This window comes from Homo sapiens, chromosome 14, assembly GCF_000001405.40.
Source record: "Homo sapiens chromosome 14, GRCh38.p14 Primary Assembly".
NCBI lineage: Eukaryota > Metazoa > Chordata > Mammalia > Primates > Hominidae > Homo > Homo sapiens.
In genome coordinates, this window is record NC_000014.9 from 66,940,897 (window position 1) to 66,965,801 (window position 24,905).

The 24,905-nt window shown below is 36.0% G+C and overlaps 1 protein-coding gene across 20 annotated transcripts in view; it reads left to right on the top strand.

The window, feature by feature from the left end:
• GPHN (gephyrin) overlaps positions 1-24,905 on the top strand; it is a 1,227,209-nt gene that overhangs the window by 432,750 nt on the left and 769,554 nt on the right. For all 20 annotated transcript variants that reach the window (XM_047430879.1, XM_011536340.4, XM_017020913.3 and 17 more), the window contains one exon: positions 24,295-24,429. In XM_047430879.1, coding sequence (XP_047286835.1) covers positions 24,295-24,429 — 135 coding nt within the window. The remainder of the gene's footprint in view (positions 1-24,294; positions 24,430-24,905) is intronic.

Here is a 24,905-nt window from a genome sequence, read left to right on the forward strand (position 1 = left end):
TGACATGCCCAAATAACTGTTGGCTATATTCATGCTTGCTAAGATTTGGGTGCATGGTGCTTGGCTTTGGTTAGCTCCCTTGGTCTTACTTTCCCAAAAAGGAAACCTGGATGGGCATCCTATTTATTGCCATCACCTGGCAGGATTTGCAGGTTAATTGCTCAGAACTAGAATATTGATCCAGATTTCTACATCACCTGTCCCTTTTGTTCTTTCTGAGCTACAGCTGGAGATTGCTGGAACATGCAGGGTTAGTCTAAAATGTAGGTTACAACTTAAAAACAACTAGGAGTTTAGAATGTAATGACAAATGTATAAATTGTGAAACATAATTTCTCTCTCTCCAGTCCTTATTTTCATTAAAAAAAAAATCATGATAGGACTGAGTTGTTTGCAAAATAGACTTAGTCTTATATTTAGCCTGATTATTTGCATAAAGTACAGCAAGAATAACTATTTGTAAATAGGCCTTTTAGACTGGCTTTGATGGAACTCTATTCCACAAGGAATCTCAGATAAGACCTTTTAAAGTGAAGCCCAGCCATGGGTTTGTAGCCTCAAATACCTGTGAGTTAGGTGATCCTCTCCTCTTAAGGTCCCAGGATAAACTTGGAGATCCTGGGCCTGTTAGAAAGAGACATTCTTTACTGACCACAGATCAGGAACCCTATACAGGGACTGGGTAGACAAGGGTATGAGGCCAGTTTTCTCAATTGGCTTTTATGAGCTCTGCAAGTCAAGCTTGACTCCTGAAAGGGAAACACACCCTTCCAGTCAAAGCCTTGGTAAAAAAAAAAAAAACTTGTTTCTCCAATTGCATCCTGTTGCAAAAGAAAATGGACTTTTATTGCACTGATCCAAACAACTATATTGCCAGAAGTTAAGAATACTCACAGATACTTTCCAAATTCTAGAGAAACCAGGCAGAGAGAAACACACGTTCTCCAAATTTTGTTCACAGTATACCTTACTTGATTATTAAGGGCTGTAAATAGTTCAAAATCAGTTTCCATGAATCTGAAAAATAAAACAAGGATCAGCAATATTCCAAAAAACTCAAAAAGATTGCTTCAGTTTTCTGCATTTAGTCCATTTAGTTAAGTCTTTGTGTTGTTGTTTACTTGTTTGTTTTGAGACAGAGTTTTGCTCTTCTCACCCAAGCTGGAGTGCAATGGCATGATCTTGGCTCACTGCAACCTCCACCTCCCAAGTTCAAGTGATTCTCCCGCCTCAGCCTCCCAAGTACCTGAGATTACAGGTGCCTGCCACCACACCCAGCTAATTTTTGTATTTTTAGTAGAGACAGTGTTTCAGCAGGTTGGCCAGGCTGGTCTCAAACTCCATACCTCAGGTGATCCACACACCTCAGCTTCCCAAAGTGCTGGGATTACAGGCGTGAGCCACCACGCCTGGCCCCATTTAGTTAACTTTTGTGTTGCTTAATATTGATGAACATTTTATTTCTTTATGAGTCCTGTACGTTTTTCCTTTATTCCAATGTCACTATCTCCAAAGTTATTAGAAACCTGCATTTGAGAGCACCTGTTAGAGTCCTATAGGTGATTATAAACCATCTTTTGAAAAGGATCAAAACAAAACAAAAATTGTCTGAATAACAAAATGTCCAGGGTAGTTACAGTTAGAATCACCATTGACAGAGAAGTTTGGTTATCTTTGTGGTTTATAATAACTTGACATAACAACCTTAATTATGATTGATAGCATATACTTTAGACATTAGAATTTTTGAAATTTCCTACAATTTTGGGACATATATTAGTATTATTCCCCAAAATATATCCTAAAGTAGATTAAACACCGTTTGGCAATCCCATGTAACTAAATATGCCAAATAATCCTGTTTACTTCTTTTCTAGATGCCCCAGGGGACCTCTGTAGCACTCAAAAAGCCAGGTATCAGGAAAAACAATTTTGAAACTGAAGTTTGATTTTGGGAAGCCTATTAAATATATTAGAGGTTTAAAACAACTATTGTTATGAAATAGAATTCCAGATTACCATGAATTATTTATTTTGCCAAAATGATGACTCAGATACTTTAAAAAAGCAAAAACTTATTATGACCCTTTACAAATTTTGCAAAAGAGCAGATTAGTGCCTTAAGAGTATCTTGTGCTTTCATTTCAATGCTCAGTTCACTGAAAAACCATATAATACCTTTTTGAATTTAGTCAATATGTTTACACATGGAATTTTTTTCAAGATTTTTACAGTCCTTCTACCACTTGTTTGAACTTTGAGCTTTATTTTATCTAATTCAAAACAACCCTTTAACACTAGGCAAGAATTTACATTTTTATGCCTTTTTTATAATCTTTTACTAAAAACACATCTTATTAGTCTTACATGCCTCACATGTAAATTTATTTCCAGTAGTTTGAGTTATATGTTATAATGGTAACTCCTTGAAATTTTTTACTTTAATGTAAAACCTGATAAGTTGTTTTCATTATGTGCTAGGTGCTGCCAAGGCTTAACTCCTTCCAGCTTAATTAAAGATGCGGTTAGTACTACATGTCCCTAGCCTTACCATTTATGGAGCAGGCAAGTCAAATAGTTCTTTAAACCCAAAAAGCAGTTTATAAACTTAAAACATTTAGCAAACCTAGCACCTGACCTGCATAGTTTAGTCCACCTGTTTATATTTTAATGACATCTGCTTTTTACCAATATTCTTTAAGGGTTGTTTTTATTTCTCAAAGATTAAAGTCACATGAACTGAAAGGCACCACAACTTTTATCATCCCTTTAAAAATTTTTTTGATCCAAGCACTATCTTCCTTTAAGCCAGTTAATTAGAGCTCTTTTTATAGGCATCACACACACAACACATATATAACTAAACAGACAGGCAAAAGAAAACCCAGTCACCATAAGATCTTTTGCTTACCAATCTCCTAATTGGATTATTGGATATAGCCCTTTAAGAGACAGGGCTAGGAAAACATGCAGCTTCTAAAACCTAATAAACAGGCATAGATGGGGCAAAAACAGATTTTCAGAGGGATCTATCCACTTTTAATTCTTGGGGTTCCATGAAGAAAATAGAGGTCTTTCCCCTTCATGTGTGCATTGAGGGTGGCAAGACAAACGGAGAAAAATAATTCAGTCAACTGAGAAAAAAACCCTTTTTCCAGAAAAACAAGATCCAAGAAAAGAAAAACATAAAGGCCATTTAAATATACCTATAATTTGAATATCCACTTTTAATTAAGCCGAGCACTCTTTTTAAGAATTTCCTTTTAACTCCCTTACTACCCGACTTTAGCGATGCCAAGTGGCCAATATTTCTGGCTTTCAAACTTTACTAAAGACTCAGAGAAAGGAAAATCCAAGGCGGTTCATGGAGGGGAAGAGAATCAATAATTAGCAAAGGTCACACAAATATCAAACTGGAAAGGACTCATTGAATCCCAGGCCACCATTGTAAAATGGCAGAGGCTAGAACAAAACATTGCCACATGGTTACAGGCTTTGCTCCCAAGGACATAAAACAAGATGGAGGCCTGCAGCAAAGTTTGCTACTGACCATATGGAAAGTCATGCAAATCACACCAGATTGGTTACAGCTTAAGGCCAAAATAACAAATCCTTTTTCACAAGTAAAACTCTACAGAGAATATAAACAGTGATCCCCATTATTCCTGGTCCAGCAAAATCTCTTCCAAAAGGAAAAAAAGAAAAACAAACCCTCACTTAAAAATAAATTCCTGACCCTGTGGAGAAAAGGAAAAGACAGCTTAAATGCAGGGCTGTATTAACTGCTAATAGGGTGGAGAAAAGAAAAAGATGCCTGGGGAAGAACTTCGTATTCTTATGCAAATAAGTTCTTCCACCAGTGAGAAAAACTTAATCACTTTCCCACAGAGTGAAACCCCTTTCCCTGGGGAGGGGAAGGCTCCACAGATGCAATGCAGAGAGCATTGGCCAGCCTGCCATTAGGCACCCTTGGGCCATGCATCCCAGCCCTGGCAGGGAGAGGAGTGCAGGAGCTGCCATTCTGTGGTCCATCTTGCGCATGCCTGCAGCTGTTGGGATGAGGTGGTGCACAGTTTCCTCTACCCTCCAAAGAGGTCTGAGGAGAAAGAGACATAGAAGTGAAAGGAAAAAAGATTTTTAGACTTGCTTGGTACTTACCTTTTCTCAAGCCCCATGTTGGGCGCCAAAAATGTTGTAGAAAAAAAACACGTTCTTGTTACACAACAGGGATAATTTAGTTGCATGGACACATTATAGGATGAGTAGAACGGGATTTATTGTGTGAAAAAAAAAGGGAAACAGGAAACCTCAGCAAAGTGAGAGAGATTCCTGCTAGCAGGTTTCCCGCCTCACAGATTGAATTGCAGGCCACCACACATGCGAGCTGAAGAGCCCAGGCTCCTCCCCACTGCAAATGGTGCGAACTTCTAAACTTCCCATAGCTCCACCCCATCCTCCCAGTGTGCAGGCCAGTTGGAGATTCTCCAGGGAACCTCCACCTTATCTACCTCCTGCATCTATCAGTATGAGGATACAAAGGCATAAGAATTATACAGTGGACTTTGGGGACTGGGGGAAGAAAGTGTGGGAGGGGGTTGAGTGATAAAAGACTACACACTGTGTACAATGTACACTGCTCAGGTGATGGGTACACCGGAATCTCAGAAATCACTACTAAAGAAAGTATTCATGTAATCAAACACCACCTGCTTCCCCCAAAAAACCTATTGAAATTAAAAATAAATAAATAAAAACAAAAGTGAGCAAAAGATTCGAATAGACATTTCTCAAAGAAGATTTGTAAACGGCAAATCTTGAATACCACAGTTTTAAAAAGGTAAAAGAAAGCAGTGTGGACAGGGAGAGCATTAACAGTTCTCTGGGGACTTTATACAAAGCATACAATTTTTAATATGTTTACATTAATAAAATTTTCCCTATAGACATATAACCTAGGGAAGACTGGGCTTCTCTTTTGATATTGTAACTCTTTATCTGTGCTTAAAGAACAAACTTTTGTGATTTCTATTGGCTTTCTGGGAAATGTCAAAGATAGTTTTATTTCTTTTTCTTTTTTTCTGGGCCTGTGGACTTTGTAGATAAGTACAAAATAGTTTTACATTCCCTGAAATTTTTTTTTAATTTATTTTATGTTTGGGATCAAATTTTGAGTTATCAGAGGAAACTTAGACATGTAATTTAAATAGGACCATGGATACTTGAGAAATAATTTTTGATTGTCTAATCAAAATGATAATGAAATATTTTTTTTAAAAGCATGAAAGGTAATACAGTTGTTAAGAAGTGAGGAACTTTTGTTCTTTGGGGTTTTTTCCTTAAATACCCAAATACGTAATAAAGTTAACATATAGGAGAGAAAATTAATCTGGTAAGACACAGAATCTCTGCTATCTAGGCAGATGATGTAGATCCTAGGTAAAGGCATTAATCACCAAACCAGCCAAGAAAGCCATCAAAATTAAGTGAACTTTGTTGATATGTTAACACATTTATTTTTTCTTTTTTTGACACAGAGTCTCACTCTTTTTGCCCAGGCTGGAGTGCAGGACACAATCTCGGCTCGCTGCAAACTCCACCTCCGGGGTTCAAGTGATTCTCCTGCCTCAGCCTCCTGAGTAGCTGGGATTACAAGCACGCACTACCACACCTGGCAGATTTTTGTATTATTAGTAGAGACGGGGTTTCATATGTTGGCCAGGCTGGTCTCGAACTCCTGACCTCATGATCTGACCACCTGGGCCTCCCAAAGTGCTCGGATTACAGACGTGAGCCACTGTGCCCAGCTGAGAAAATATATTCTTAAGTGAACCAGTTTTATAAGTATATTATAACTGTTAGTATTTTCATAGATAAAAAACTAGTCTGCTACTCTAAATGCCATTTTAAGAAATCCTGTGAGACTTATTGGTGACTCTTCTAGATTCACTTGGCATTATAAATTCCCAGGGAACAACTTGGTCTAATCAACTATCATCTATCATCTTTCACCTTAATTATTTCAGTGGCTGGTCTCATCATTTCCACCCTTGCCTCCCTTCAATTCAGTCTTCAACCCATAGCCAGAGTCGACTTTTTAAAATAAAGTAAATAATGTCACTTCTCTACTTGAACCCTTCAATGGATTCTTATCACATTCATTGTTACCAAAACTCCTTGACATGTTCTGCTAAATTCTGTATAATCTGGCTCCTCCCTGATTTCTAGGCTCTTCTCTTACCATTTCTCTCTTGTGCTTTATTGCTTACTAAGCTCCATATAGCTTTTTCTTTCCTCAGGGAATTTGCTGTCCCCATTACTTAAAATGTTCTTAAACCTACTCTTTACCTGGCTAACTCCTGTGCATTCTTTCTGTTCTGGTTTATCTCTTTCTCACAGAAGGAATTCTGTGATCCACACTGCCCACCTAAATTATGCCTGCAGTTATTCTCTATCATTGCACCTTGTTATTTTCCTTTATAGCACTTATAGTTACAATTATATACTTATTCATGTGTTTACTTAATTTATCTCTAGAACTGTAGGTGGGAAGATCCATGAGGACATGAGTCACATCTCTTTTATTCATATGGTCTATCCAGCACCTAGCACAGGTTGGCACATAGTATGGACTATATAAATTTTGGTAAATATATCCCATGAAAACATATGATGCATCATTCGTCTTGATGGAATCAATGTCTATTAATTAAATTCTTAAGACTGACATTTTAAAAAGGGATATATTTCGCCATACCCATGATGTATAAGAATTGTTCCATGGCCAGGCACAGTGGCTTACACCTGTAATCTCAGCCACTCGGGAGGCTGAGGTGGAGGGATTGCTTGAGGCCAAGAGTTCAAGACCAGCCTGGGCAACATAGTGAAACCCTGTCTCTACAAAAAGTAAATTTAGCTGGATGTGGTGGTGTGCACCTGTTGTCCTAGCTATTTGGGAGGCTGAGGTGGGAGAATTGTGTGAGCCCAGGAGTTTGAGACTACAGTGAGCTGTGATCACACCAATGGATCTCCAATCTGGATGACAGAGCAAGGCCTATCTCACAGAAAGGAAAAAAGAAACTTTCATGAAATAGACAAGTAGTCACCATATTCTGTTCCTATATTAAGTAAATATATTAAATGAATATAATAATGATAATAGAGAATCATTTTTGAATGCTAACCATAAAACATTCTTCTATGCATTTTATAAGTGCCATAAGAAATTAATACTGGCATGCAGATTTCAGCAAGAGTATACCTTTTTGTTTTCCTAAAAGGCAATTACACGGGAAACCAAATAATAATAAGGATGGATTACTACCATTGAGAGCAACAAAAATTCTGAAATTTTTAAAGCAATGAGAGAATAACTTTAGTAAGTATAAATATTCCTTGTAAAAAAAAACAAGCTTATATGAATATTTAAATTTTTAAGTTTATAAAAAAGATCTCTTGATAGTCATACTTCATATGTTTGCCATCTAAGTGGTTTTTCATTATAAATATGAATCATGAATTTTTGTAGATTTTTGTATTATGAATTTTTATCTAAATTTAGGTATTCACATTTTTTGTTAAATTTCATTTTGTTGGATTCAGCCCATCAGTCTACTAAGAGGTCTTTTTAAAATTTATATCAGCTGTCTAGTATATTACTTGTCTTTTGTAGTTTCTGTCACCAGCAAATATGTTAAGCATGCTTTCATTCAAGTCACTGATAAAACTTTTTTTTAGGCTAGGCCATTTCACATACTACCAGAAACCCTGCTGGTTGTAATTGCTTAACTAGCATATTTCTATTTCAACACATCAAAACCTACAGACCTACTTTCTCTATCGACAAGGCATTTATGCGTGACTTATCAAATACCTTAATGAACTCAAGATACATTGCATTGACAAGTTTTGGGAGGTTGTTTGTTTGTTTAGATGGGGTCTCACTCTATTGCTCAGGCAGGAGTGCAACAGCACAGTCACTGTATCCTCCACCTCCTGGGCTCAAGCAATCCTCCCGCCTCAGCCTCCTAAGTAGCTGGGAGCACAGGGACAGTTTTTTCTTTAATAAAACTTTGTAACATTTAATTATAACCTCTGAAGGATCAGTATTAGAAGCTCTGAGAAGACATGTGATATATATTTTCTGATATAACCCATTTAGGTATTATATGTAATCAATCTTTTTTGTTCTTGTTTTTGTTTTTCTTTCTAAGACAGAGTTTTTCTCTCTGGCTCAGGCTGGAGTGCAGTGGCACAATCTCACCTCACGCAACTTTCACCTCCTGGGTTCAAGCGATTCTCTTGCCTCAGCCTCCCAAGTAGTTGGGATTACAGGCACATGCAATCACACGCAGCTGATTTTTGTATTTTTAGTAGAGACAGGGTCTCACCATGTTAGCCAGGCTGGTCTCGAACTGGCTGGTCTCAAACTCCTGACCTCATGATCTGCCTGCCTTGACCTCCCAAAGTACTGGGATTATAGGTATGAGTCACTGCACCCAGCCTGTAATCAATCATTATTGTTAGTTCAGGTGCTGTATCACACACCTGGATCTCAAATAGGATTTATAGAAAATGCAGCCTACCTTAATGATCTCTAAAAAGAGAAGTTGGAAAGAAAGGGTGCACATTTTGGACTTGGCCACCAAGCTGGTCAAGGGATCCAAAAACCTCCACCATAGAGACTGATAAATTGTAGCTATTGAAGCTGTACTTCTTTGTACATAGGTGCTTTGGGAGACTCACTCTGATTATTGTAAATTTGCTCACTAGCTACCCAACATTAAATTCAAATAACAGAGAATTTCTATTGTACAGCCTTGCAACTTTGCTTTAAGTTTAAACTTTTCTTTAAAATAAAATTTTAAGTGGCAAAAATAATTATTAGAAGAGAAAATGTGTGCTCATTTTTGAATATTCTTGGCATCAAATATAAATTTGTATGTTTACTTTATTGGCATTCATACTGCCATTTCAAAGGACTGCAGCATTCAAAAGGGGAAACAATATTTTGACTGTGTATTCTGATTTTTATAATGTAACTCTCCATTTCTTCTTTTAAAAGTGCCTGCCCAACCAGTGAAATTAGCTTTAGGACAGGAAAAAAAAAAAAAAAAAAAAAAAAAGCATAGATAAAGAATCAGCACAGTTCCTAGGAAAATTATGTGTTCCCATTACAGTTTTCCTTAATGAGGAAAATTCTGTTATTTAATAATTCACAGTCAAAATTACATTGCATATCTAAAGAAAGTTTGAGATTATCTGGGACAAATTGTTTCCTCCATGCTATGAGTTGCATAAGATAGTAGAAATAGATTACTTCTCTAAAAGTAGGAATGTTATTTCTTTTGTGATTTGGCATTTTTCCTTCTCATTTGTTCTGATTTAACTCACTACAAATTCTACTTGCTCAAGGTAGATCCTCACTACTCCATGGCAAGCCTTTGGTTCATCTCTCTTACTGACAACCTTATATACATTGCCAAATTGCAATTTTCAGACCTTTGCTCTTGACTCAATTTCCCCTATTTTCTCCTCTTCTTATTATATTAAAGGCCATCAGAGCTAAATTATTTGTTCTTTCTATTTAAAACAATTTTCCTGAATTAATACTTTGCTCTATTCCTTCTATCTCAAAGAACTGCTTGTAATTCTCAGTTAGTGGCTGCTTCTACTTCCTTATTATTAGATATCATCTATGTACGAGACACTGTATTCATTCCTTGTTTCTCCCTAGTTGTTGAGTATGTTGGCCACTTATTTTCTGAAACAGTCCCCCACCATGTTTTCATTACTGAAATGTTTTAATTAGGCAAGAACACATGAGCACACACTCACTAAAAAAAGAAAATGAAACATAGATAAGATTAATATCCTTTTTGAACCACCCTCTCATTCATTTTTATTTACCCTCACACTCCCCCAAAAGTAAACATTTTTATCATTTTGAAGGGTATCCTTCAAAAGTTTTCTGTACTTTTCTGTAAAAACATAGGAAATAAAATCCTAAGGTTTTTGTTTGTTTGTTTGTTGTTGTTTTGTTTGTTTTGAGACGGAGTTTCACTCTTGTTGCCCAGGCTAGAGTGCAGTGGCACAGTCTTGGCTAACTGCAACCTCCCCCTCTCAGGATCAAGCGATTCTCCTGCCTCAGCCTACTGAGTAGCTGGCATTACAGGCACCTGCCACCATGCCCAGCTAATTTTTTGTATTTTTAGTAGAAACGGGATTTCATCATGTTGGTCAGGCTGGTCTCGAATTCCTGACCTCAGGTGATCCACCCACCTCGGCCTCCCAAAGTACAGTTTTTAAGTGGTGTGCGTGTGTTTAATTAAGAAAGGGATAAAGGGCCAGGCACAGTGGCTAACACCTGTAAACCCAGCACTTTGGGGGCCGAGGCAGGCAGATCACAAGGTCAGGACATCAAGACCATCCTGGCCAACATGGTGAAACCCCGTCTCTACTAAAATACAAAAATTAGCTGGGCATGGTGGTGCATGCCTGTAGTCCCAGCTACTCAGAAGACTGAAGCAGGGGAATCACTTGAACCTGGAAGGCGGAAGTTGCAGTAAGCCAAGATCGCACCACTGCACTCCAGCCTGGCAACAGAACAAAACTTCATCTCAAAAAAAAAAAAAAAAAGGAAGGGATAAAGAAACTTGCAAGCTGCTTCTAAAATTTATATAGATAGAATTGCAAAGGGCAAAAAAACAACCAAAATAGTGTTGAACAAGAAAAAGATCAAAGTGGGAAGACCTGCTCTACCAAATATCAAGATTTAGTATAATGATACGATTAAAGTAACTTCTTAATGGTGCCAGAATTAATATTTAGACCAATGGAACAGAATTTAAAGCCCAAAACACACCAACACACATATGGTCACTTATTGTATGATAATTTATAGTGCAGAATTATAGAGAAGTTATTTTTTCAATAAATGATGCTGGGACAACAGGCTATTTATATGAAAATAAATGAAATTGGACCCCCTATCTCACAGTATACAAAAATCAACTCCAGGTGTATTAGAGATCCAAACAGGAAGGAGGAAACTATAAAGCTTTTATAGATTTTTACAGAACAATGTTTTTATTATGCTGGATTAAGAAAGGATTTCTTTTTTAATTGAATTGAAGTAAAATTCACATAACATAAAATTCACCATTCTAATCATTTTAAAGTGTGTGATTCAGTGACTTTTACTACATTCACAGTGTTGTACAACTATTTTATCCAATTCCAGAAAATTTTATCACCACCGCTCCCAAAAAAACACCTTACTCATTAAACAGTCTATTCTCCATTCCCTCTGCCCCCAGCCCCTGACAACCATTAATTGGCTGTCTCTGTAGGTTTACTTATTTTGGACATAACATATAAATGCAATCATACAATATGTAACTCTTTATGTCTAGCTTCTATCACTAAATAAACAACATTTTCAAGGTTATCCATGTTGTAGCATGTATCAGTACTCCTTTTTATGGCTGCACAATATTCCATTGTAAGGTATACTGCATTTAGTTTATCCATTTATTAGCTGATGGTCATTTGGGTTGTGTGTACTTTTTGATTATTAAAATAATGGTGTTATGCACATTCATGTATGTTTTTATTTGAACACCTGTTTTCAGTTCTCTTGAATATACACCTAGGAGTGGAATTTGTTGTAATATGATAATTCTATGTTAACTTTTAAGGAAGTGCCAAACTATTATCCATAGAGCTGCATCATTTTACATACCCAACAGCAATGTATGAGGGTTCCAGTTTCTCTATATCCCTGCCAGCATTTGCTTTTTTTCTTCTTTTTTGCTTTTGAGACAGAGTCTCGCACTATCGCCCAGGCTGGTGTGCAGTGGCCCAATCTCGGCTCACTGCAACCTCAGCCTCCCGGGTTCAAGTGATTCTCCTGCCTCAGCCTCTCAAGTAGCTAGGATTACAGGTGCCCGGCACCACGCCTGACTAATTTTTTGTATTTTTAGTAGAGAAGGGGTTTCACTATGTTTGCCAGGCCGGTCTCAAACTCCTGACCTCATGATCTTCCAGCCTCGGCCCCCTAAAGTGCTGGGATTACAGGTGTGAGCCACTGCACCGGGCCTTCTTTTTTTCTTAATTCTTATCATCTGAATGGGTGTGAAATGGCATCTCATTGTGGTTTTGATTTGCATTTCCCTAATGACTAAGGATGCTGAACATCTCTTCATATACTTGTTGATGATTTGTGTAGCTTCTTTGGAAAAATGTTTATTCACACCTTTTGCCCATTTTCAAGCGGGTTGTTGGTCTTTTTATTATTCAGTTGTTAGAGTTCTTTACATATTATCTGGATGCTGGACTCTATCAGAGATATGATTTGCAAATATTTCCTCCCTTTCTGTATTTTGTCTTTTCACTGTCTTGATAATGTCCTTTGCACAAAAGTTTTTAAGTTTAATGAAGTCCAGTTAATCTAATTTTTCTGTTGTTGCTTGTACTTTTGGTGTCATATCTAAAAATCCATCACCAAAGTCGTGAAGATTTACCTTTATGTTTTCTTCTTAGAATTTGATAGTTGAGCTCTTATAATACAATTAGGTATTTGATCCATTTTGACTTAATTTTTGTGTATGGTGTAAGGCAAGGCTTCAACTTCATTCTTTTGCATATGGATATGCAGTTGTTCTAGCATAATTTATTGAAAGAATGTCCTTTCCAGTTAATTGCCTTGGCACTCTTGTCTCAAATCAATTAAGTATAAAGTTAGGAGTGCTTATTTCTGGACCCTCAATTCTATTCCATTAACCTATGTTTGCCTTATCCCAGTACCACACTGTTTTGATTACATAGCTTTGAAGTAAGTTTAGAAAGCAGGAATTAGCCTGACACGGTGGCTCACACCTGTAATCCCAGTATTTTGGGAGGCCGAGGTGGGCAGATCACTTGAGGTCAGGCGTTTGAGACCACTCTGGCCAAAATGGTGAAACCCCGTCCCTACTAAAAATACAAAAAAATTAGCTGGGCATAGTGGTGGGTGCCTGTAATCCCAGCTACTTGGGAGGCTGAGACAGGAGAATCACTTGAACCCAGGAGGCGGAGGTTGCAGTGAGCCAAGACGGTGCGATTGCACGCGAGCCTGGGCAACAAGAGCAAAACTCGGTCTCAAAAAAAAAAAAAAAAAGGAAGAAAGCAGGAATTATGAATCCTCTAACTTTCTTTGTCTTTTTCAAGATTGTTTTAGCTATTAGGTTCCTTGAGATTCCATATGAATTTCAGGATAGGTTTTTCTGTTTCTGCAAAACACACCAGTGGGATTTGACAGTGATTGCATTGAATCTGTAGATAGCTTTGGGCAGTATTACCATCTTAACAATATTAAGTATTGCATTCCATTAACACATATGTCTTTCTATTTATTTGCCTTTAATTTCTTTCAGCAATGTTTTGTAATTTTTGATATACAGGTTTTATAATTTCTTGGTTAAATTTACTCTGCATATTTTATTCTCTTTGATGCTATTGTAAATGGACTTGTTTTCTTAATTTTATTTTTGAACATTTCAGTATTGGTATATAGAAATACAACTGATTTTTGTGTGTTCTTCATGTATTCTACAACTTCGCTAAATTTGTTTATTAGCTCTACTTGTTCTTTTTGTGGATGTTTCAGGAATATGTATATATATAAAACCATGTCATCTGTGAATATAGTTCTACGTCCTTTCCAATTTGAAGCCTTTTATTTCTATTTCTTGCCGAATTTCCCTGGCTAGAACTTTGAGTACAATGTTAAGTAGAATTGGCCTGAGTAGACATCCTTTTTCCTGAATTTAGGGGAAGTTTTCAGTCTCATTATTAAGGAGGATGTTAGCTGTGGGTTTTGTCTAGATGCCTCTATCAAATTCAGGAAGTTGCCTTATATTCCTAGTTTTCCAAGTGTTTTATCCTGAAAGCATATTGCATCAAATGTTTGTTCTACATTAACGGAGATGATCATTTGTGAAGTTTTTTTCCCCTTCATTCTGTTAACATGGTGTATTTCACTGACTTCTTATCTTATGGTGAGCCACTCTTACATTTTTGGAATAAATCTCATTTGGTCTTGATGTATAATTGTTTTAGTATAATATTTGTTGTTTCCTAGTATTTTGTTAAGGATACTTGCATCTATATTTATAAAGGATATTAGCCTGTAGTTTTTTTGTTCTTATGATGTCATTGTCTTTAGTGTCAGGGTAATACTGGCCACTTAAAATGAGCTAGGAAATGTTCCCTCCTCATATTTTGTAGAAGAGTTGGTAAATAATTTTTGTTAATTCTTCTATAAACATTTAATAGAATTCCCTAGTGAGGCCATCTGGTCCTGGGCTTTTCCTTGTTGAAAGTATTTTTATGTACTGATTCAACCTTTTTAGTGGTTCTATTCAGATTTTCTATTTCTTCTTGAGTTGGTTTTGGTAGTGTCTGTGTTTCTAAATATTTATCTGTTTTATCTAGGTCATGCAACTTGTTGGCATACAGTTGTTCCTAGTATTTAATTATTATGAAATAATCATCTGGTAGTCATTTCATTTCGGTAAGCTCAACAGCAATGTTCCTACTTTCATTCCTGATTTTAGTAATTTGAATCTTTTTCTCTTTTTGTCAGCCTACTTAAAGATTTGTTCGTTTTGTTATTACTTTTATTTTTTTATTATACTTTAAGTTCTAGGGTACATGTGCACAACATGCAGGTTTGTTACATATGTATACATGTGCCATGTTGGTGTGCTGCACCCATTAACTCGTCATTTACATTAGGTATATATATCTCCTAATGCTATCCCTCCCCCCTCCTCCCACCCCACGACAGGCCATGGTATGTGATGTTCCCCTTCCTGTGTCCAAGTGTTCTCATTGTTCAGTTCCCACCTATGAGTGAGAACATGCGGTGTTTGGATTTTTGTCCCTGCAATAGTTTGCTGAGAATGATGGTTTCCATCTTCATCCATGTCCCTACAAAGGACATGAACTCATCCTTTTTTTATGGCTGCATAGTATTCCATGGTGTATATGTGCCACATTTTCTTAATCCAGTCTATCATTGATGGACATTTGGGTTGGTTCCAAGTCTTTGCTATTGTGAATAGTGCCACAGTAATTTTGTTGATACTTTTAAAGGACCAACTTTGATTTTGTTGATTCTTTCAATGTTTTTGTGTTCTCTATTTCATTTATCTCCACTATAATTCTTATTATTTTCTTTTGTTTGCTTTGGGTTTAGTTTATACTTTATTTTATAGTTTCTTAGGGTGGAAGATTAGTGTATTGATATGAAATCTTTCTTCTTTTTAAAAGTAGATGTTTACAGCTATAAGTTTCCCTCTGAACACTGTTTCTCTGCATCACTTGAATTTTCATATGTTATGTTTTCATTTTTATTTGTCTCAAATTATTTTCTTATTTCCTTTATGATTTTCTCTTTCACCATTGGTTATTTAAAAATGTGTTTATAGCAGCATGATTTATAGTCCTTTGGGTATACACCCAGTAATGGGATGGCTGGGTCAAATGGTATTTCCAGTTCTAGATCCCTGAGGAATCGCCACACTGACTTCCACAATGGTTGAACTAGTTTACAGTCCCACCAACAGTGTAAAAGTGTTCCTATTTCTCCACATCCTCTCCAGCACCTGTTGTTTCCTGACTTTTTAATGATCGCCATTCTAACTGGTGTGAGATGGTATCTCATTGTGGTTTTGATTTGCATTTCTCTGATGGCCAGTGATGATGAGCATTTTTTCATGTGTTTTTTGGCTGCATAAATGTCTTCTTTTGAGAAGTGTCTGTTCATGACCTTTGCCCACTTTTTGATGGGGTTGTTTGTTTTTTAGAAAATGTGGCACATATACACCATGGAATACTATGCAGCCATAAAAAATGATGAGTTCATGTCCTTTGTAGGGATATGGATGAAATTGGAAATCATCATTCTCAGTAAACTATCGCAAGAACAAAAAACCAAACACCGCATATTCTCACTCATAGGTGGGAATTGAACAATGAGATCACATGGACACAGGAAGGGGAATATCACACTCTGGGGACTGTTGTGGGGTGGGGGGAGGGGGGAGGGATAGCACTGGGAGATATACCTAATGCTAGATGACGAGATAGAGGGTGCAGCGCACCAGCATGGCACATGTATACATATGTAACTAACCTGCACAATGTGCACATGTACCCTAAAACTTAAAGTATAATAATAATAAAAAAAAAAGAAAAAAAAAGTGTTTAATTTCCACATACTTGTAAATTTCTCAAATTTCTTTCTTTCTTTTTTTTTTTTTTTTTTTTTTTTTTGAGATGGGGTCTCGCTCTGTCTCCTAGGCTGAAGTGCAGTGGCACAATCTCGGCTCACTGAAACCTCCACCTCCTGAGTTCAAGCAATTCTCCTACCTCAGCCTCCCAGGTAGCTGGGATTACAGGCGTGTGTCACCACACCCAGTTAATTTTTGTATTTTTAGTAGAGATGGGGTTTTGCCGTGTTGACCAGGCTGGTCTTGAGCAGCTGACCTCAGGTGATCCACCCACCTCGGCCTCCCAAATTGTTGGGATTACAGGCATGAGCCACCGCACCTGGTCCCAAATTTCTTTCTGTTACTGATTTTTAATTTCCTTCCATTATGGTCAGAAAAAATACACTGTAAGGTTTCAATCTTTTTAAATTTTGTGAGACCTATTTTGTGGCCTAATATATATGGTATATCCTCATGTTCACTTCAGAAAAATGTGTATTCTGCTGGTATCAGATACAGTGTTCCTATATGGCTGCTAGGTCTAGTTGGTTTATAGTGTTGTTCAGGTCTTCTATTGAAGGGGTCCCCAAGCCCCAGGCCAAGGACTGATACCAGTCCATGACCTGTTAGGAAGCGGTCCGCACAGTGGGAGGTGAGCAGCAGCGGGCAAGCAAGCATTACTGCTGAGCTCTACCTCCTCTCAGATCAGTGGCAACATTAGATTCTCATAGGAGCATGAATGCAAGGGATCTAAGTTGTGTGCTCCTTATGAGAATTTAACTAATCCCTGATGATCTGAGGTGGAACAGTTTTATCCAAACCATCCCCACCAACCCCCAGTCCGTAGAAAAATTGTCTTCCATAAAAACACTCCTTGGTGCCCAAAACATTGAGGACCGCTGTTCTATTGTACTTGTTGATCTAACTAGTTATTCTAACTATTATTAAAAGTGGAATATTGCAGTCTCCAACTCTTATTTTTGAAGTTTTTCTCTCTTCATTATTATCAGTTTTTGCTTTATGTATTTTTTTAATAATTGTTATGTCTTCTTGATTAACTGACCTTTTTATCATTATATAATGTCTTTTTTGTCTCTTATAACAGTTTTGGCTTCAAAGTTGATTTTGTCTGATATTACTGTAGCTTCTCTAGCTGTCTTTTGGCTACAGCTCCCATAGAATATCTTTTTCCATTCCTTCACCTTCAATTTATTTGCGTCTTTGGATCTAATTTGAATCTCTTGTAGATAGCATAGACAATCATACTCCACTTAACAACAGAGATATGTTCTGAGAAATGCATTGTTCAGTGATTTTGTTTTTATGCAAATGTCACAGAGTGAGTATAATTACACAAACCTAGATGGTATAACCAACTACACACCTAAGCCAAATGGTATAGCCTGTTGTTCCTAGTCCTAGGCTGCAAACCTGTACAGCATGTTACTGTAATGAATACTGTAAGCAACTGTAACATAATGGTAAGTATTTGTGTTTTGAAACATATCTAAACATAGAAAAGGTACCAGAAAAATATAGTATTATAATATTATGGGACCACTGTTGTATGTGTCATCTGTTGTCTATCAAAATGCCATTATGCAATGCATGATTCTAGTTGGATTATAGTATTTTTAATTCATTCTGCCAGTTTCCATCTTTGAATTGGATAGTTTATGTACATTTAATGCAATTACTATAAAGAAGGGTTTCTTCCATTTTGCTATTTTTATATAATATCATTTTTGTTTTTTATCTCCTCTATTACTTCCTTTTTTCTGTATAGATATTTTCTGGTGTACCATTTTGATTCTCCTTGCTACTTTTACTAACTATTATTTAGTTATTGTGTTAGTGGTTTCCCTGGGAATTACAATTAACATCTTAGCTCATAACAATGTAGTTTGAATTAATACCAACTTAGTTTCAATATTATACAACAACTTCATACCTTGTCCACTACTTACGTTATTATTTTCATAAATTACCTATCAATATATTGTATGCCTGTCAACATAGATCTATAATCATTGCTTTATGTAGTTTTTTTAATTATATGGGGCAGAAAAGAGGATTCACAAACAAAAATATACGTGAGATACGACTGACCTTTGTGTTTACCTATGTAGAGTTCTGTATTTCTTCATGTCAGAGGATTCACAAACAAAAATATACGTGAGATACTGACCTTTGTGTTTACCTATGTAGAGTTCTGTATTTCTTCATGTCAGTCACAATTACTATCTAGTTTCTTTTTATTTCAGCCTGAAGACCTCCCTTTAGAATTTTTTTGTAGGGCAGATTTATGAGCAATGAACTCACTCAGTTTTTGTTTATCTGGGAATATTGTAATTTTTCTTCGTTTTTGAAGTTTAGTTTTATCAGATATAGAATTATTGGTTGACAGATTTTTCATCTTTCAACATTTTGACCATATCATTCCACTGCTTTCTGACTGTCATGGTTTCTTTTGAAAATCAGCTGTAAATCTTATTGAGGATCAGAATTCTCTCTTCATCTTTGTCACTTTCAACAATTTGATTATAATGTATCTTCGTGTCAGTCTTTTTTAGTTTATCCTGCTTGGGATTGTTGAACTTCTTGTGTGCATTCATGTCTTTCATCAAATTTGGGAAGTTTTTAGGCATTGTTTCCTCAAATAATCTCTTTGCTTCTTTCTCTCCTCTCCTTCTGGGACCACCATTAATCATATCTCAGTGTGTTTGATGGTATTCCACAGGTTGCTTAAGCCATGTTGTTATTTTCCTTTATTTAAGCCATGTTGTTATTTTCCTTTATTTTTTTTCTTTCTGATCCTCAGACTAGATAATGTTAATCACCTTATTTTCAGCTCACATCTGCTGTTGAGTCCCACTAGTGAATTTTTCATTTCCGTTGTAATTTTCGGTGTTAGAATTTGTATTTGGTTTCTTTTTATGATATTTGTCTTTTTATTGAGATTCCCAGTTGGTGAGGCATCATTCTTGTTCTTGCCTTTAGTTCTTTGTTTATAGTTTCCTTTAGCTCTTTCAGCTAAACTTTATTAAAATAATTAATTTAAAATCTTTGTCTAGTCAGCTCAGTGTCTGAGCTTTCTCAGAGACAGTTTCCGTTCATTTCTTTTTTCTTTTCTTTTTTTTTTTCCCTGTGTACAGGTTATACTTTCTTATTTCTTTGCATGCTTCATAATTTTTTGTTGAAAACTTGACATTTAAATATTATAAGTGGCAACTCTGGAAATTAGATTCTCCCCTCTCCCTGGGGCTTTTTGTTGCTGCTTTTTCAGCAGTAGTAGTTATTTGTTTGTTATTCATTTTTTGAAATACTTTTTTCAAGCTTGTATTTCTTTGTTGTGCATAACCTCTGATGTTTCTGTTGTTTGCTTAGTGGTCAGCTAGTGATTTGACAGGTATTTCCTTAAATACCTAGAACCAAAAAATTAATAATAAAAACAAAACAAACAAATCAGAGAAAATCTCCCAGTTTTTGCAGATGAGCTCTTTGTATATGTTAGGTCACACTTCAACACTCAGCCAGGCAATTTACAGCTCTTCATTAGTTTTCACTTCCTGCTGGTATAGAGTCTCAAATTTATCCACAAGTGAGAGAATAGAACCTTCTCAGGTCTTTTCTGAGGGTGTGCCCAGCCCTGGGCATAAACCTGACCTTTTAGAGTCCAAAGGATACATGGGAGCTTTTCAGAGTCCTTATGCCTTAAAGTACCTCATTCCATAACCCTCACTCCCAGGTTTTTCACTTTATCTATTGTTTGTCCTGTTTTTCCATGCCCAGATGACAGTGGCTAATACATTTGCCTTTAAATATTTGAACAAACATTACCCAATGAATAGCTGCCTCAACCCTGGGAATATTCTGAGTTAAGTGAAATAAAGGCAGGCCCTTTGAGTGTGTCCTTCAATAAGCCATAAGATATTTCAACACAAAAAAACCACAATTCTTTCAGAATAAGGTTTGTTTTCCTTCTGGTACTACAGACCTGTATTGGAAATGTGGACTGTTGTCTTCAAGGCCACCTTTTTTGTCTATTTTTCTTGATTACCCATTTACCTGGTTGTAAACATTTTATTCATTTTCAGAGTTCTGGTAAAGTTTATTCTGCCTGTTTTTGCCAATTTATTTTCTGCTTTAGTAGAGTGATGGAATTTTGGATTTCTCTACTCTGCTGTTTTCACTGATGTCACCCAGGAAGGATTCCTTTTAAGACACAAAAACCACTAACCATAAAGGAAAATATTGATATATTTAGCAACATTAAAATTAAAAGATTTCGTTCATCAATAGACATGATAAAGTAAGGTAAAAGACAAGCTACAGAGTAGGAATAGATATTCACACTAGATACAACTGCTAAAAGACTAGTTATCCAGAATAAATACTAAAATCTAACAATTTAATAAGAAAAGAACAACCAAATAAGGGAAAAAATGGGCAAGGATTTGAACGGGGACTTCACGAGAAAAAATCTAAATGACTGAGGAATGTATGAAAAAGTGCTCACTCTCACTAAGAATCAGAGAAAGGGAAAATAAAACCATAATGCAATATTGTTACACACCAACCAAATTTTTTTAAATGAATAATACCAACAATGCTGGGTGGAACTGAGTTGTAGAATAAGAGAAACTGTTACTATTCTTTGTGGACAGATGTATAGATTGGCTTAACCAACTTAGAAATTTTTTAAAGAAGGTATTCATACCCTATAACCAACCATTCTATCCCTGAATGTGTATATATATATATATATATATATATATATATATATATATATATATATACACATATCTCCCAGAAATTTACTCACATGGGTATCATAACACCCATGGGTTCACAGTGGCATTTTTCATAATGTCCTCAAAATGAAAACAATGCAGTTGTCTATCAACAGAGTAATCTATATTCACTGACTCCTTTTCCTTACCTCCAGTTTTTTTCTTGACCCCTTGTAATCAGGTTCTGTCTTCATCAAATAATGAAATTTTCTTTCAGGTAACTAATTACTACCATCCTGTTCTTCATAATCTAATTCTTCACCCTTTTTCTAGTATCTGTGTTGACATATTCTTCTATGTTCTTCATCTTTAGAATCTCATTTATTTCTGTAACTTCAACAACTGTATATCTGCAATAATTTCTAAGTCTGTATCTCCAGCATAGGCAGTTTTTGTTTTTTTTTTTAAGATTGGGGCAAAGATTTGTTCTAGACTATGTAATGAAATTGTAAATTTATGTTTACTGATATTAACTGGATCCACAATGGTAATTGAAAATTCTTTTGCCTTACCCATCATTTTCATTCATCAATGCATTTTTTGAGAATTTTACCACTCTCCTAAAGTCATCTTTATCACTTTTACTTCCCCTTATTCTCATCAATAAGGCCTCTCCTGCAAGCACCAAAAAAATAGTAGTAATAAATATCTGTGTCTTTTACCCACAATTTACTTTGCTTTATCATGCCTACTCAATTCCTCCATTTGTATCTACTCTTTTTACTTAACTGGTAATTTCTTTAATAACTGGATGTAATGGCTTCTTTTCAGCTCTCTCTCTCTATTCCTATTCTCTCCCATATTTGCTTTTTTTTAATCTTGCAACTTTCTTCTTTTTTCCATTGCCTTGATACTCACCCATCTCGATTTGCCTCTTTTTTCTCTAATAATTTCTTATGATAAGAACACCAAATAATTTATCTTCCAAACCAGAATGCTTTTGAAAATGAAAAGAGGTGCTGTTTGATAATTAAGCCAGCATAATAGGTATAATCCTAGATTGTTCAAGGAAAAATCAGATGTATGGTTACCCCATACATCCTTATCTTAGAGATCTTATCTCCCTTCAGTTTGTTTTCTTTTGTTAACTTTTAATATGAATGTTACCTCAAATTGTCAGCCATCGTCTTTTGTTCTTTCACATATTCTCTGCAGGTGATCTGACACATTTGAATGACTCAAATTACTACCTCCATTGATAATTCCCAAATTATATGTCCTAACTTTTTCCTGAGTTCCAGACTCATATACCTCATCAAATAGCTCCAGATTAGTAGCCCGAAAGTACCTAGCCACAAAATTTAAACTTATCTTCTCTCTCGAGTATCCTGATTTTTAATTTACATTGAGGCATATATACACACAGAGATATGTAGTGTATATATGCAGTTATGTGTATAAGTCTGGAGATATATATCACACACACAGAGACATTATTCGTGCAGTTGCTTCATTAGATATTGGACATAAAATAGTAGCAAAACAGTTCCATCATGACAGTGCATTCTCATATGGGAGACAGACATTGATCAAAGTATCACACGTATAAATGTTGTGATACTTTCTGTAAGTATGGTCATTGCTATGAAGGAGAGGGATGTGATGTCATATGAAGTATAAAATGGGTATTTGACCTTCTTTTAAATACATGGCCTTTTTAATTGGATAAGTGGCAACAAATAGCTCTTCAAAATTAGACTTTATTTCTTGGAAATATTTATGACAATTCAGTACTCAAATATGTTAGCAAATGGAGTCGTCTTGCTTCTCAAAATTCCTACTGCTTTTCATACTATTTATGACTATATTGTTTATAAACCATATAAAATTTCAAACACTGAAATGGTGGCAATATCTTTGGAATTAAGGATGTTGGTATAGAAACTAAATAAAGGAGCTTCTATAGAAATAGCATTAGTTTTGTGAGGCAGAAATGATGCATAATATTAGGAATACCTTGTAGTCACAAAGTCTGGCTGTTTCTTCTTTTCACATAGTAAGTGATATTTGTTGATTAAATGTTAATTGCTTGTCTTTTTATCATATGTTTCAAGTCTTGCGTGCAAAATTTGAAAGTCCTCATGTTCCCATTCTTAGAAGACGTATGCCCGTTACTGGTAGCCCAGAACATGAACTAAATTATGCAAGGCCTAAAGTAATAAATTTATAATCAACATATATTAATAATGTTAAAAATAATCTACAGTATTAGTCTTTATGTTTGTATATTTTTAGAATAATGATAATTACATTAGTCTTTACTATGTTGATAAGTATAATAATAACAGTAATAATAACCAACACATTAAATATTTACCACTTGAAAGTGCTAAATAATCTACACACATTATTTTACTTAACCCTTGCAGTATTCCAGTGAAGCAGATTCTATTGTTGTCCTCAATTTTCAGATAAAGGAAGTAGCAATTCAAAAGGTATATCCATCAGGATCCTAGCAGACGTCAGATAGCATGCTTAAATAGGTAATTGAGGAGAGTTCAATAAGAACCTATAGGATGTACAAAGGTTTGGACAGAATTTAGGGAAAACCACAAGACATCATGGAATGCCTGGGATTAGTAACAGTGGGAACCATTAATGCTTCTACCTAATGGGGCAAAGGGAAGGAGTGCTATTAGAATCTAGAGAAAGAGCTATAAGCCAGAAGGGCAGTCTGACATGAGCTATGATCTTGAGTTGAGTGACACAGCCAACCTTTGATGATCTGGTAGAGAGGGAGCTAGGAGAATAAATGCCAGATCTTACCCTATCCCAACTCAGTCTTCTGCCAGTGCCTTTCACTGACTGAACCCAGCTGGAAGCCAGGGCAGAAAATAATTTGTTGATGGTGTGCATACAGGTCAGCTTAGAGAAGAGAGGGTGAAAATGGTTGGAGACTGATCTGAAAAGGAAATGGAAAATATATAGGAATTAAATAGCTTGCTCAAGATTTCAAACTATTAAATGGCATAGCAAGTATATGAATGACCAATCCTTTATTCCTAACCACAATACTATACTGCCTCTCATATTAAAAAGTTTTATGAAATGGTACTTGCCAGGGAAAATACTTTAAATCTGAAAGTTTCTATTCTATCTCAAGTTGTTGGATGCATTTATACCTAACAGTAAGTGACACCAAATATGTCAGAGCTGAGCAGCAAAGAATGCTAAAACAAAGGGGGTCTTGATTCTACATGTTATTGACATTTTCAGAATATTAAACCATAGTTGTTCCCCTTGTTCAGATTCCAGACTCCATCATTTCTCGTGGTGTTCAGGTGCTCCCACGAGACACAGCCTCCCTCAGCACTACTCCTTCAGAATCGCCTCGTGCTCAGGCTACATCTCGCCTCTCTACAGCTTCCTGCCCAACACCAAAAGTAAGTATGGTTCCTTCGCATCTTACACCTGCTCTTCTATAGTAATCTGGGAAAACTAACCAATATTTCCTCCTGCTTGTCAAGGTTGGATTGCATGCAAGATTACACTGTGAAAAATGAATAAAGTGTAAGATAGTTCCCACCCATTGTGTCACAAATTGTCATATTAGGCCACTAGTAGGACAATACAGATTTCATTCAAAATGTCTTACTCCTACATCATAGCTAAGGGTATTACTTTCTGTAGCTCCTGTTTCTTTGTTGTAGATTTGTTATTTTTTAGTATACTTAACATTATAGATGTAAAGTTATTTGTTTATGCCGAGGATAAATGTACTTTTGGCCAGTAAACAGCAAGATTAACAAAATTGTGTCACCAAAGGGATTTCTTTAAACTTGTCCGGGCTGGGGTAGCTCCCTGCTCTAGTATCATTCCAAATTTTTTCAAACATTCATCTTGGAATGTTGCTGCCTAA